The 15,873-nt window shown below is 46.8% G+C and overlaps 1 pseudogene, besides 1 other annotated feature; it reads right to left on the bottom strand.

Moving 5' to 3' along the window:
* Window positions 3,581-3,758: a silencer, noted in NCBI's record as "fragment chr19:2887583-2887760 (GRCh37/hg19 assembly coordinates)". NCBI's record gives its function as "represses an EF-1alpha promoter that drives an FKBP-Casp9 reporter gene in an ReSE screen in K562 erythroleukemia cells {active_cell/tissue: K562}" and the evidence as "EXISTENCE:reporter gene assay evidence [ECO:0000049][PMID:32094911]".
* On the bottom strand, window positions 12,592-13,222 carry LOC100419704 (zinc finger protein 57 pseudogene; annotated as a pseudogene).

Raw genomic sequence — 15,873 nt, forward strand, 5'->3', positions numbered from 1 at the left:
CGGCCCTAGCGGGCAGCTCAAGAGCCCTGATTGCAATGTTCTTTAGGGTTTTTATAAGGCTACAAGAATTTTGTAACACCCCTAGGTGCCCTTTAGAGAACTCCAATTGGTTACCCCCTATGAAGGATTCGCCTGCAACCAATCAGAGGCTGAAGTGAAGACTTGGCCATGGCCAATCAGAGGCTGAGGTGGAGACTTGGCCCTGTCAAATCAGAGTCTGAAGTGGAGACTTCTATCTTGTTATCACAGCAGTGAGGATGTGGCCTGTTTCTGCCTAATCTTGCCTAGAAGTGGCTGCACCTGCTGTTCCTTTGCTTATGCCTTAACTGGTTATCCTAATTCCCTATTCTCCTGCCTCAAAATGACAAGTTAATCACAAGCAGCAGACTCATGGTTAACCTTACATATCCCAAAATAGTAATGGAATGTCTCCATAGTGAAAGCCTGATGTGTCTTACCACCTGTATTGGGCACTGTTCGAATTTTTATATTTCAAGACAAGTCATCTTCTTCTGGATAAAAAATAAAATTACACAGTTTGCCAAGTATGGCATTAGGTGTTTTGTTGTTGTTGTTGTTTGTTTGTTTTGAGATGGAGTTTTGCTCTTGTTGCCCAGGCTGGGGTGCAATGGCGTGATCTCAGCTCACTGCAACCTCCAACTCCCAGGTTCAAGTGATTCTCCTGCCTCAGCCTCCCAAGTAGCTGGGGTTACAGGCGCATGCCACCACACCCAGCTAATTTTGTATTTTTAGTACAGACAGGGTTTCACCATGTAGGCCAGGCTGGTCTCGAACTCCTGACCTCAGGTGATCCACCCACCTCGGCCTCCGAAAATGTTGGGATTACAGGCGTGAGCCACCGTGCCCGGCCAGCGTTAGTTTTTAACCAGAGTATTCAAAAGCATCCATTTATATGACATTCTGGATAGAGCAAGAGTATAGGAATTTAGAACCAGATGAGGCATTAAGGGTCACAGGACAGTTTGTCTCCAAAAGGGCAGAAGGAGGCTTTTAGGGGTGACAGAGTGTTTTGTATCTTGATTATGGTGGTACAAGTATGCATTTGTGAAAACCCAGCTCCATTTAAATTGTAAAGTTTACTAATTTTAAATAACGGAAAACAAAATAAGCAAAGTCTCATTGATGAACTAAGAAAAAATTAAAACTCATCCAATCTTTGATGTTTAGTTTGCAACAATAGTAGTTTCCACTTCTCAAAGACTCGTGACCCATCAAGACTTTTTTGGAACCCATTATAAAGTTAGGAAGCACTTGCCAGGGTCATAGCTGCCCTCACCGCAGCCACTTAACCTGAGGGAAGCCACAGGGCACCAGCAATGCCCCTCTAAGTTCACACCAAGTTCCTGGGGTCAGAACTCTGAGAATGCTGTGGTTTGGAACCTAAAAGGAATTCTACAGAGTTCCAAAGGGGATCCTTGGGTGGAGGGAAGGAGTGTCTTATCCTTGGGCATTTGAATCACGTCTTCCAAGGTTCTATCCTGAGGCCATTTGCAGCTCAGTTCTAGCTCCCTGACATATCAGGGTCAAACCCAGTTTTGTTTTTGTTTTGAGACGGAGTTTTGCTCTTGTTGCCCAGGCTGGAGTGAAATGGCGCGATCTCAGCTCACTGCAACCTCCGCCTCCCGGATTCAAGCGATTCTCCTGCCTCAGCCTCCCGGGTAGCTGGGATTACAGGCATGCACGACCCTGCCCGGCTAATTCTGTATTTTTAGTAGAGACTGGGTTTCTCCATGTTGGTCAGGCTGGTCTCGAACTCCTGACCTCAGGTGATTCGCCCGCCTGGGCCTGCAAGTTGAACCTGCATATCTTTGGAGATCTGGAACACACGCTAAGTTCAGAACCAGAACCGGAAGTGCTGAGGAGCTTTCCTTCTAGTCCCGCCCCTCACGCTGTCGCTTACGCTTCCAGTTAGCAACTTGGTCGTGGAAAACACCTGCCTGTGGCCAAGAGACGTGAAGTTAGAGCTTCAGAAGCGTCCAGGCCGGGCACAGTGGCTCACGCCTGTAATCCCACCACTTTGGGAGGACAAGGCGGGCGGATCACTTGAGGTCAGGACTTAGAGGCCAGCCTGGCCAACATGGCGAATTCCTGTCTCTGCTAAAAGTACAAAAATTAGCCGGGCGTGGTGACGCATGCCTGTAGTCCCATGTACTCGGGAGGCTAATGCAGGAGAATCGCTTGAACCCGGGAGGCGGAGCTTGCAGTGAGCCGAGATCGCGCCACTGCACTCCAGCCTGGGCGACAGAGCAAGACTCCATCTCAAAAAAAAAAAAAAAATATATATATATATATATATATATGAATAAAGTAATCTCACATTTGAATGAAGAATCATGAATCCTAATGGGACAATAGGGTGCCCAACTGTTCATATATTTATAAAGGAGTGGGACTTATTCCAGGAACTTAAATGTTTCCATATTGGAAAATCCAAATACGTTCATATAATTCACCAAGGAGATGAGAAATATCCTCAGGGAGGTAAGGGTGTATTTGTACATAAGTAAATTTCTATTTCTGTTTAGAAATACTTGTTTAGATCGCTTCTCGGCCTTTTGGGTAAGATCAAGCGTAAAAATACTTGTTTAGGAAAATAATTCCTTAAAGTGATTAAAAATACAACTATCTCAAAATTAGAGCCAAATTCAAAGACTTCATACATTAGTAGGGTCACCTGGTGTGGATGGAAGGACATGTCACATAATGCCAGTGTTCTGACTTTCTATGGCTGCATAATGCCGCCCCCAAAATTATTTATTTATTTTTTATTTTTTGAGACGGAGGTTTGCTCTTATTGTCCAGGCTGGAGTGCAATGGTGCGATCTCGGCTCACCGCAACCTCTGCCTCCCGGGTTCAAGCGATTCTCCCGCCTCAGCCTCCCGAGTAGCTGGGATTAGAGATATGTGCCACCACGCCTGGCTAATTTTGTATTTTTAGGAGAGACGCGGTTTCTCCAGGTTGGTCAGGCTGGTCTCAAACTCCTGACCTCAGGTGATCCGCCCTTCTCGGTCTCCCAAAGTGCTGGGATTACAGGTGTGAGCCACCGCGCCTGCCCCCGCCCCCCTAAAATTTAGATCACAACAACCACATTTATTTTGCTGAGGAACCTGATATTTATCCAGGACTGGGCAGAGGCAGCTCATCTTTGCCATTCTCCAGTTCCACACGGGCACAAATTGGGGTGGTTTTTTCGCATTCGTTTTTATAGGGCCTTTCACGATGTCTTTTTATCTCGGGAACCATGGGGAACTTTACGGCAAGTAACAATGTTCACACATAAAACAGGACGGTGTCATTTTTCTCTTTTTGTGCACACAAGTGTCAATTTTTACTGCACCATCAGTAAGTCTAGATTTAATCCAATATGAAAGAAAGTCAAACCCATCACAAAAGAGCAAGGTTATTCTGGCTTGAGCTCTAAAATGCACAAGTCATTGTCCTCTGCAGTCTTGTAAATAGCCTGACATCAGTTGTTTTAAGGTTTTAAGTAGTCTGCGTTTTCATTAGTTATCACTAGATGGTAGCAGAGAGCATCGGTCAGAATTAATAAAAGAGGGTTAAACCAGCTCAAGCAAGCGAAGCCAATGGCTGTAGTATTTAGGAAGCTGCTCAGACCAAGGCTATGGCTGAAGCAGCCCACCCATTCTACACACACGTGGGGCCCAGGAACCTTTGTAAAGTCCTCTACTGTTGGACCTTGTGTCTTGCCAAGTGGCTGTCAGTGTAGGCTGGCATTTAGTGCTGCGTGGCCTTATTGATGGTTACAACCATTTTTTCTGCTTTGGTACCACCCGCCATCTACCGGAACTCTTCAGTACATCTCCACGTGGATCTGAGCTGAGCTTCTCCCGCTTTCTCTGAGAGCATTTCCAGCCAATATGTGTCTGCTTGGTCATGTCCTTGCCTCTGCCCCTTAGCCAGGAACTTTACACAAACATAAAATGTATCTATACCTCTACATCATGCCATAAATGAAAATTGTTTCCAGATTTATCACCGAAGATAAATGTGAAAACATAAGAGATCATGAATTGGAATAAGCAAACATTTCTGAAAACACAAAAACACCATAAAATAGAATGAACAGATATTAGAAGCTACAAAACAAAAGGCACCATAGCAGAGTGAAAAGAGAGTTTATAGAATGGAAGAAGAAACGTGCGATACACAGATCTGGCAAAGGGCTTGCATACAGAGTCTAAACGCTCCTATAAATTACTAAGAAGGCAGGCAGCACAATAGAGAAGTAAAATTACAGATTTGATTAATCATTCACAAAGGAAGCTTGTCCAAGTGGCTAATATTTAAATGATAATTCAGTTTTTTCTTAAGGGAAATGCAAATTAGAGCGAAAATGACATACTACTACTCCCTACCATACTGACTGAAAGCCCAAAACATCCAGGAAAATGCTATTGCTGAATATGTGCAACAGAAATGCTAAGTTGTGGCTGGCACAGTGGCTCACGCCTGTAGTCCCAGCATTTTGGGAGGCTGAGGCGGGAGGATCGCTTGCGCCCAGGAGTTCAAGACCAGCCTGGGCAACACAGTGAGACCACCCCCCCCATCTCTAAAAAGAAAAAATAAATAAAAATTAAAAAAATGCTAAGTTGCTACAACGTCTTTGGAAAACTGTGCCTTTTGCATGGCTCGGTATGTTTAGATACACAAATCCTTATTGTGGTGGAGCCCCTTCCTTCCGAGCTTTCCGGAAAACCAACGACACAACTCCCCAAACAGGAAGCACAACCCGCTTGCACCTGTGCACCATGCTCGGTTGGAGCTCCCAGCTGCCTCCAGGGCACAGCGGCTTTGGAGGAGGGGCCGCGTTGCATGCTGGGAGCAATCTGAGGGGCGGGACCCTAGCGTTTAAGGGCTGTCCTTTTTTGAACCACATTTCCAAAGCGCTCGGGTTCCCCGAGTGGTGCCCCAAGCAGTGGACGAGCAAGGTGCCCGAGAAGGAGGGGACCACAGACACCGCCTGGTGTCCACGGACTACCAGGAAGCCAGGGGGCGGTGGCCTCCGTGGGGAATGCGCATGTGCGGTCCCGAGCCTCAGGCTAGCGTTCGGGACTAGAGTGGGGCGTCGCCGCCGCATGTTGCACCTGTCGGCAGCGCGGCCTCTCCCGGATGTGACGTAGCGTGACGCCTGCAGGATTGATGCTGAAATGACGAGGTGGCAGCGCCGGTTCCTGTAGCTGAGGGGTGTGAGTTCGAGGTCTGATTGTCCTCGTTTTCTACTTCCGGTCACCTCACTGCCACATGGCAGGCCTCCAGGGGAATACGCTTAAGATGAGACACCTGCGCATCTCTCTTTTTTTTTTTTTTTTTTTTTGAGACGGAGTCTCGCTCTGTCACCCAGGCTGGAGTGCGGTGGCGCAATCTCGGCTCACTGCAAGCTCCGCCTCCTGGGTTCACGCCATTCTCCTGCCTCAGCCTCCCGAGTAGCTGGGACCACAGGCGCCCGCCACCACGCCCCGCTAATTTTTTGTATTTTTAGTAGAGACGGGGTTTCATCGTGTTAACCAGGATGGTCTCCATCTCCTGACCTTGTGATCTGCCTGCCTCGGCCTCCCAAAGTGCTGGGGTTACAGGCATGAGCCACCGCGCCTGGCCTCTTTTTTTTTTTTTCTTTTGAGACAGAGTTTCGCTCTGTCACCCAGGCTGGAGTGCCGTGGCCTCATCTTGGCTCCCTGCAACTTCCACCTCTCAGGTTCAAGCCATTCTCCTGCCTCAGCCTCCCGAGCAGCTGGGACTACAGACGCGCACCACCACGCCCAGCTAATTTTTGTATTTTTAGTAGAGACGGGGTTTCACCATGTTGGCCAGGCTGGTCTCGAACTCCTGACCTCAGGTGATCCACCCACCGCGGCCTGCCAAAGTGCTGGGATTACAGGCGCGAGCCAGCACACCCGGTCACACCTTTGCATCTCTAGGCAAGATTCGTAGTCAGAAGACACAAAACCAGACTTGGAATTCCTGATTTAGGGTTGAAATGGCCTCAAGCCTGGGAATACGTGCAGATACCTAAGGACTGGAATTCCGCCCAGGATGACCCTCAAAGGGAAGTTCACGTTTCAGACCTACGGTGTGTGCAGAGCTCAGGCCCCAGGAACTTGGGGACAGAGGTGCCTTCTCGCTTCTCTCTGAATCTGTGTCTGAGGTGAGAGAGGCATGGCCCTGGTGGCCTTTCTTAATTTCAGGTTGGGTTCCAAGAAAGCAATGACGGCTCGCGATTTCTTCTTTCTCACGCCATTCTCTGTTCGGTTGCCAAGGAAGTGGAAAAAAATTGGTTTTGCTTATCTAAAAAGGTTCAGGTGAGTTTATTTTTATTATTTATTTATATGTATTTATTTTTTGAGATGGAGCCTCGCTCTGTCGCCCAGGCTGGAGTGCAATGGTGCAACCTCTCTGCAACCTCCGCCTCGCGGGTTCAAGCGATTCTCCTGCTTCAGCCTCCTGAGTAGCTGGGATTACAGGCATTCGCAACCACGCCCAGTTAATTTTTGCATTTTTAGTAGAGACGGGTTTCACCGTGTTGACCAGGCTGGTCTTGAACTCCTGACCTCATGTGATCCACCTGTCTCCGCCTCCCAAAGTGCTGGGATGACAGGCGTGAGCCACCATACCTGGCCGACTTGCTGTTTAATTCAGCAAAAAGGTGTTGTATTTCTGCTTTGCTGTGACATGTATCGGAAAATTGAGCATATGGAAATAATGAGTGTGAAGAGCAGCATGTGCTCCTGTTTGGGCATTATGCCTCATTAGAAAAAAATCTGGCCTTTCCGGAGGTTGCAGTGAGCCGAGATTGTGCCACTGCACTCCAGCCTGGGTGACAGGGTGAGACTCAGTCTCAAAAACAAAACAAAACAAAAACTACCATCTCCTATAAAAGGGCATTAAAATTTTCCAAAATTTGGGATTTTGAACACCGTCCCAATTTAGTATCAAAGTATTTTTGAGAATGCCAAATATCCTTTGATACTAAATTGGGACGCTGTTCAAAATGACACAGTGTCTGCAGCTCACCTTCATTATTCCTAGACTCTCCCTTACCATCCACAGCTCTTCTTGCATCTACCGGATCACCAAGAACTTGCACAGCTATCATTCTGCTTGTAGGAAAGGGCACATGCTGGATTAAAACCGTGCAGATGACCACATCCTTTTACAAACCAGGGGCAACTCTGTGGCTTCCTAGGCTACAGATTCTCTCAGACTACACTAGCAGCAAATTGAGAAGGCCACCTCTTTAATACAATTTACAATTCATTCAAAAGGACTCTATAAACAGCCACACTTGATGGCCCGAATAACTGGTGAGACTCTGGTGACCTTTTCACTTCATAGGTACATATCATATTACCTAAAGCTTTTGAGCATTGCAAAAATAAAGATGGACCGGCCAGGCATGGTGGCTCACGCCTGTAATCCCAGCACTTTGGGAGGCCGTGGCAGGCAGATCACGAGGTCAGGAGATCGAGACCATCCTAGCTAACACGGTGAAACCCCATCTCTATTAAAAATACAAAAAATTAGCCGGGTGTGGTGGCGGGCACCTGTAATCCCAGCTACTCAAGAGGCTGAGCCAGGAGAATCACTTGAACCTGGGAGGCGGAGGTTGCAGTGAGCCACGATTGCGCCATTGTACTCCAGTCTGGGCAACAGAGCAAGACTTCATCTCAAAAAATCAATCAATAAATAAAGATGGACCATGAGAGTTTTATTTTGTAGGAAATTATTACTCTGTTAACTCCATGAATGCAGGACTGGGTATCACTCCACACTATTTACAAACACCCTGAGCAGTCCCTGTGATAGTGTTTACTTAACACATACTGAGTGATGGAAATATAAATTAATAAATACATCCTCATTCTCCAATGCCCCACCATCCATAGAAAAAATGCAAAATACGTCCCTCTGTTTTCCCGATTATCTCCCTTGTGGATTATTTTCTTCCAAGACCCATTTTTTTTTTTTTTTCGGACGAAATCTTGGTCTGTCGCCAGGCTGGAGTGCAGTGGCAGGATCTCGGCTGACGGCAACCTCCACTTCCCGGGTTCAAGTGATTCTCCTGCCTCAGCCTCCCCAGTAGCTGGGATTACAGGTGCCTGCCACCAGGCCCGGCTAATTTTTGTATTTTTAGTAGAGACGGGGTTTCACCATGTTGGCCAGGCTGATCTCGATCTCTTGACCTCATGAACCGCCCACCTCAGTCCCCCAAAGTGCTGGGATTACAGGCGTGAGCCACCGCGCCTGGTCCCCAAGACCCGTATTTTTTATATCAAGTCTCTACTTGTTACATTAAAATCTTTACTTTTTAAAAAAAATCTCTTTTCCCAGAAAAATACACGCCCTCGAACTGCGAGGACTTATTCTATATTGAGAGCCTGCTGTGTCTTGATTACTTTTCAGCCTAATTTTTTGTTTTGAGCTTACAATGCCTGGTATATAAGAGAGGCTCAAAAAGTAGGATCAGGTTAAAATCATGGTCTTTGGGCTAGAAGGAATTTTTCTTTTCTTTTCTTTTCTTTTTCTTTTTCTTTTTTCTTTTCTTTTTTTTTTTTTTTTGAGACAGAGTCTTTCTCTGTTGCCCAGGCTGGAGTGCAGTAGCACAAACTCGGCTCACTCCCGGGCTCAAGTGACTTTCCTGCCTCAGCCTCCCAAGTAGCTGGAACTACAGGCACATGCCACTGCACATGGCTAATTTTTGTATTTTTTATAGAGATGGGGTTTCTCCATGTTACCCAGGCTGGACTTGAGCTGCTGAGCTCAAGTGATCCGCCCACCTCAGCCTCCCAAAGTGCTGGGATTACAGGCGTGAGCTACTATACCCAGCCTACGAAGACTTGTTCTGAATCCTGATCCTACCTTATAACTTGCTAGCTTTGTAATCTGTAAGTCTGTTACCCACAAAAGGAGACAATAAATGTATCTACATTATAGTTTTGGAAGATTAAGTGAATTTATATATGTTCATTGAATTATAGGAAACAAAACCATACCAGATATATGGTAAGCAATATTCAACTCTTTACATGGAAGGAAAAATCAGCCCTTGAGAACTGGGACCTGGCCTGGCATTCGTCCCACGCCACATGATTCTGTTGAACAGCAATGATTTTACACCACCCCGACATCAGATGGGGCCACGGGGTGAGAATGAGCAAAGCAAAAACAAGAGTGCAGGGAAGTTCTCCAGGTGGCCTGAGACTGACCCAATCTTCCCCACTCTTGACTGTAGCTCTCAAGAATAACTAGAATGTACTGGGAATGCAGCCGGGCACGGCGGCTGATGCCTGTAATCCCAGCACTTTGGGAGGCCAAGGTGGGCGGATCACCTGAGGTCAGGAGTTCGAGACCAGCCTGGCCAACATAGTGAAACCACGTCTCTACTGAAAATACAGAATTGGCCGGGCGTGGTGGCTCACGCCTGTACTCCCAGCACTTTGGGAGGCCGAGGCGGGCGGATCACGAGGTCAGGAGATCGAGACCATCCTGGCTAACACAGTGAAACCCCGTCTCTACTAAAAATACAAAAAATTAGCCGGGCATGGTGGCGGGCGCCTGTAGTCCCAGCTACTCAGGAGGCTGAGGCAGGAAAATGGCATGAACCTGGGAGGCGGAGCTTGCAGTGAGCCGAGATTGCGCCACTGCACTCCAGCCTGGGCGACAGAGCCAGACTCCATCTCAAAAAAAAAAAAAAAAAGAAAGAATGTACTGGGAATGCAACATTCCGAGATAAGCGGGGAGCTGGCTAGAACACTCAGGTTCTGCTCTAGTCCCCGCAAGAACAGGATGTTCTGCTTTAGCCCAGCATGTTCTCTTGCCCCTGAGGTATATCACCTGGGGCAGGCTGCCTTTTGGGGTCCCTAATATGGAGTGCAAGTGAGGCTCCATCTGCTCCATTTGAGACTCCATCTGCTCCAGGCAGCTGTCTGAGCCTTGGAGGAGCAGCTCACAATGAATTGTAGGCTTCTGTTGTCCCTTGCTGCCTATCTGTAAGTAATAAACCCATGAAATTCCATGTAACTCAACGAGTTCCATGTAACTTGTTGTATGTGGGTGTTCTCTCTCACCAGAGTCAGATAAGTTGCTAACCAGTGCACACTGAACCTGCTTCACAAAGAGTACTGTGTAATCATGTCATTACACGGAATAAAAAATTATGCAAACAGGCCAGGCGCTGTGGCTCACGCCTGTAATCCCAGCACTTTGGGAGGCCGAAGCAGGTGGATCACGAGGTCAGGAGTTCGAGACCAGCCTGACCAACATGGTGAAACCCCGTCTCTACTAAAAATACAAAAATTAGCTGGGCGTGGTGGCAGCCGCCTGTAATCCCAGCTACTCGGGAGGCTGAGGCAGGAGAATCACTTGAACCCGGGAGGCGGAGGTTGCAGTGAGCTGAGATCAGGCCATTGCACTCCAGCCTGGGCGACAGAGTGAGACTCTGTCTCAAAAAAAAAAAAAAAAAAGAAGAAAGAATACCAAATTTTTTTTTTTTTTTGAGATGGAGTCTCACTCTGTCACCCAGGCTGGAGTGCAGTGGTGCGATCTCAGCTCACTGCAACCTCCGCCTCCCGGGTTCAAGCGATTCTCCTGCCTCAGCCTCCCGAGTAGATAGGATTACAGGCGCGCACCACCACACCCAGCTAATTTTGGTATTTTTAGTAGAGACGGGGTTTCACCGTGTTGGCCATGCTGGTCTCGAACTCCTGACCTCGTGATGTGCCCACCTCGGCCTCCCAAAGTGCTGGGATTACAGGCGTGAGCCACCACACCTGGCGCTCCCAGCCTTCTAACATGCAACTTCTGAGATTTCCATTCCTCATGCTGTGTGGTCACCTCATTGTGAAATAAGTCAACAGACCCTACTTTGTTCAACTGCAGTTGTGTTTCTCATGGGTTTGGGCTGGTGAGCATTGACATAATTAATGTGTGAGCTTTTCTTCTTCTGAATAAGTCATTTTAATGAGAAAAATGTTTAACATTATAAGAGTTTAAAAATTCACATAAAAATTCTGGAACATGCACTATAGCATCAGAACATATTTAAAAATATACAGTTATACACATGATTTGACAATCCATAATTGTACTGGAATATTTTAACATATCCCTTCTCAATACATGAAAGATAGTTAAAATTTTAAGTTTACAGCAAATATAAAAACAGTTCTAGGATTGTTCTAAGAAATACCTACAGAACCTTGTGTTTGGCAAAAAAGTAGATTATTTTTGCAAACATAAAAATTATGATAACACAAGTTTATCATTTAGAAACTGCATTCAGCTCTGAATGACAGAAGACTCCTATAATCTGTTTCGTATATCTACAAAGTGCATACTTCTCATATGTATTGTCCAGAAACAAAAAGTACAGGGTAAATGCAACCACCCAACACTACAATCAGGAAACAATTTCCTGATGCCATAATTGTAACTTTCAGGGTACAGTCAAGAACATGAGGACAGGCCGGGCACGGGGGCTCGCGCCTGTAATCCCAGCACTTGGGGAGGCTGAGGCGGGTGGATTACCTGAGATCGGGAGTTTGAGACCAGCCAGACCAACATGGAGAAACCCCGTCTATACTAAAAATACAAAATTAGCCGGGCATGGTGGCGGGTGCCTGTAGTCCCAGCTACTCGGAAGGCTGAGGCAGGAGAGTGGCGTGAACCCGGGAAGCGGAGCTTGCGGTGAGCAGAGATCACGCCACTGCACTCCAGCCTGGGCTAGGGAGTGAGACTCTGCCTCCAAAAAAAAAAAAAAAAGTACCGACGTTGACATGGGAAATCTTGTACAACACATGATGTACTCTAGATTTTATCATCTTCAAATAACAAGGTCTACCTTCTTACTTCATAACTTTTGTGTCCAATTCCCAGCCAGGAGCTGGGAGACACAGAAAAGGGTAAAAGAGAAAAATGAGTCAGATGAGGGTGTCCCTAGGCCACAGCCTTGTATTTTGCAATTTCTGCCAGGATCATGAAATACTGTGTCCACTGAGTAAAAAAAATGCTGAATATACATTTTCTAATACTAAAGACTAAAACCCTCAAAAAACATGGTGAAACCCCGTCTCTACTAAAAATACAAAAAAAATTAGCTGGGCATGGTGGTGGGCACCTGTAGTCCCAGCTATTCGGGAGGCTGAGGCAGGAGAATGGTGTGAACCCGGGAGGCGGAGCTTGCAGTGAGCCGAGATCGCGCCACTGCACTCCAGCATGGGAGACAGAGGGAGACTCCGTCTCAAAAAAAAAAAACAAAAAAACAAAAAAAACGAAAATAAATAACCTTTAAGTTCAAACTTTCAGCCTGCAGAACTATGAGAGAATAAATATGTTTCATTCGGCCACCAACTTTGTGGTGATTTGTTACAGCACCCCTTGCAAACACTTAAAGGAGTATTTACCAGCTGTTTCTCTCAAAAAGAATGAGAAATAATGGGCTAGAGGTCTACTTTAACATAAGGCACTAATAAACCCATGGCTCGACTTAAGACCTTTATAAACATTTTCTAACGGTATTGAATTTATTCAGTACAGTAAGTCATCCGCACGGAACCTTTGCCACATTACTTACTAACATAGGGTTTCCCTCCAGTGTGAGTTTTCATGTGTTATTTTAAGGATGGGAGACCACAGAAAGCTTTTCCATGCTGCATACATTTAGAGAGTTTCTCTCCAATGTGAATCCTTATGTCTTTGTAAGGACGAGAGTCTACCGAAGGCTTTTGTACACTCCTTACATTCGTAGGGTTTCTCTCTACTGTGAGTTCTCAAATGTCCTCGAAAAGATGATGACCAACTGAAGACTTTCCCACGCTGCTCACACACATAGGGTTTCTCTCCAATGTGAATTCTCACTTGTGTTCGGAAGTATGAGGGACTACTGAAGACTTTCCCACATTCCCTACAGGTGTACAGTTTCTCTCCAGTGTGAGTCCTTATGTGTCCCTTAAAGGAGGAGGGAGAACTGAAGGATTTTCCACACTGTTTGCATCCACAGCGCTTTTCCCCAGAGTGTGTTCTCATGTGAACCCTAAGGTCCGAGGGCCAACTGTAGGTGTTCCCACATTCCACACACCTGTAGGCTTTTTCTCCCGTGTGCATTCTGGCATGTATGATCAGGTAGAAGGAACGAAAGAAGGCCTTCCCACATTCTTTGCATTTGTAGGCTTTCTCTGGACTGTGAACATTTTTTTTTTTTTTTTGAGACGGAGTCTCGCTCTGTCGCCCAGGCTGGAGTGCAGTGGCACTATCTCAGCTCACTGCAAGCTCCGCCTCCCGTGTTCACACCATTCTCCTGCCTCAGCCTCCTGAGTAGCTGGGATTACAGGCACACACAACCATGCCTGGCTAATTTTGTATTTTTAGTAGAGACAGGGTTTCTCCATGTTGGTCAGGCTGGTCTTGAACTCCCAACCTCAGATGATCCACCTGCCTCGGCCTCCCAAAGTGCTGGGATTACAGGCATGAGCCACCGCGCCCGGCTTGTATTTTTTTTATAGAGATGGGCTCTCCCTATGTTGCCCAGGCTGATCTCGAACTCCTGGACTGAAACGATCCTCCTGCCTTGGCCTCCCAAAGTGCTGGGAATACAAGTGTGAGCAACCACATCTGGCCCAACTTGCATAAAACCTTCTAAGTAGGCGGCCACATTTTTTTCAATTACTTTCCATTGCTAAAATTTCTCTGGTCAATTTCAGACACAATGACTGACAGGCCAGCCTGCTACTCATAGAAGGTCTGGCTACAGAACATGAGAAGAACAGGTAGGTGCCAGCAGGCTTCCAAGTGAAAGGAACACCCATTTTCACTTCAATTATTTATCCCTGCTTGAATGTAACATCGTCAAAAATCACCATGATAGATAAAAAGAATGTAACGGTAGAAGTAAATCTTGTCATTGGAAGTGATAATATTGCTTTTCTGAGAAACTAAACATAACTGCAAAACTGCCAGAACTTGATAAAATACGTGCAATATACATAATTAAATGTATTGATGGACTAAAATTTCATTTTCTGGAAAAAGTATATAAAATATTGAGGAAGAGGCTAAACACCACCTGCCGGGTCTGTGTGAGGACAATTTCAGGTATCTCATGAGAAGGTGACAGAGAGGTCGCCCATGGGTATATAAACAACTTTGTGAGGGCGAAGACTCCTCAATTCAAATGCATTTGCATTCTGTAAGCATATTGAGTTCAGTGGGCCAGGCACGGTGGTTCATGCCTGTCATCCCAGCATTTTGGGGTCCTGGCGGGAGGCCATGAGTTCAAAATCAACCTGGGCAACATAGGTAGAGCCTGTCTACAAAAAATAAAAAGAGTTAACTGGTCCACGGGTTCTGGTTTACAGTGAGCTGGTTTTTTTGTTTTTTGTTTTTTGGTTTTTTTTTTTGAGATGGAGTCTCACTCTTTCACCAGGGCTGGAGTGCAATGGCACGATCTTAACTCACTGCAACCTCCACCTCCCTAGTTCAAGCCATTCTCCTGCCTCAGCTTCCCGAATAGCTGGGACTACAGGCGCTCGCCACCATGCCCAGCTAATTTTTGTATTTTTAGTAGAGACAGGGTTTCACCATGTTGGCCAGGATGGTCTCGATCTCTTGACCTCGTGATCCACCCGCCTCGGCCTCCCAAAGTGCTGGGATTACAGGCGTGAGCCACTGCACCCGGCCGAGCTATGATCTTGTCACTGCATTCTACCCTGGACAACAGAGCAAGACGTTGTCTCAAAAAAAAAAAAACACAAAAAAAACAAGAGAGAGAGATTGAGAGACAGTTAACTGGTTTATCCCAAATTTATTTATTTAATTTTATTTTTAAATTAAATTTAATTTTTTTTTTCAGACAGTATCTCATTCTTTTGCCCAGGCTGGAGTGCAGTGGCAGGATCTCAGCTCACTGCAACCTCCGCCTCCCAGGTTCAAGCGATTCTCCTGCCTCAGCCTCCTGAGTAGCTGGGATTACAGGCACGCGCCACCAGGCCCAGCTAATTTTTGTATTTTAGTAGAGACAGGGTTTCGCCATGTTGGCCAGGCTGGTCTTGAACTCCTGACCTCAGGTGATCCACCCACCTCAGCTTCCCAAAGTGCTGGGATTATAGGTGTGAGCCACCACGCCTGGCCTGGATTTTGTTTTTTTTTTTTTTTTTTGAGACGGAGTCTCCGTCTGTTGCCCAGGCTGGAGTGCAGTGGCGCCATCTCGGCTCACTGCAAGCTCCGTCTCCCGGGTTCAGCCATTCCCCTGCCTCAGCCTCCCGAGTAGCTGGGACTACAGGTGCCCGCCACCACGCCTGGCTAATTTTTTTGTATTTTTAGTAGAGATGGTTTCACCGTGTTAGCCAGGATGGTCTCGATCTCCTGACCTCGTGATCCACCCGCCTCGGCCTCCCAAAGTGCTGAGATTACAGGCTTGGGCCACCATGCCCGGCCCCGGATTTCTTGATCTAAAGAATGTCCGCCGGGCGCGGTAGCTCACGCCTCTAATTCCAGCACTTTGGGAGGCCGAGGCAGGCGGATCACGAGGTCAGGAGTTCAAGACCAGCTTGGCCAACATAGTGAAACCCCCGTCTCTACTAAAAATACAAAAATTAGCCGGACGTGGTGGCAGGCGCCTGTAATCTCAGCTACTCGGGAGGCTGAGGCAGGAGAATCGCTTTAACCCTGAAGGCGGAGGTTGCAGTGAGCCGAGATCACGCCACTGCACTCCAGCCGGGGCGACAGTGTGAGACTCCGTCTCAAAATAAAAAAATAAATAAAACAAAAAACAATGTCCAACAAAAAAACAAATCCAGCGAGGCCAGACAGGATAGGGGCTCCCTGGGGTCCGCCCATTTTCG

The sequence above is a fragment of the Homo sapiens genome, chromosome 19, assembly GCF_000001405.40.
Source record: "Homo sapiens chromosome 19, GRCh38.p14 Primary Assembly".
Lineage (NCBI taxonomy): Eukaryota > Metazoa > Chordata > Mammalia > Primates > Hominidae > Homo > Homo sapiens.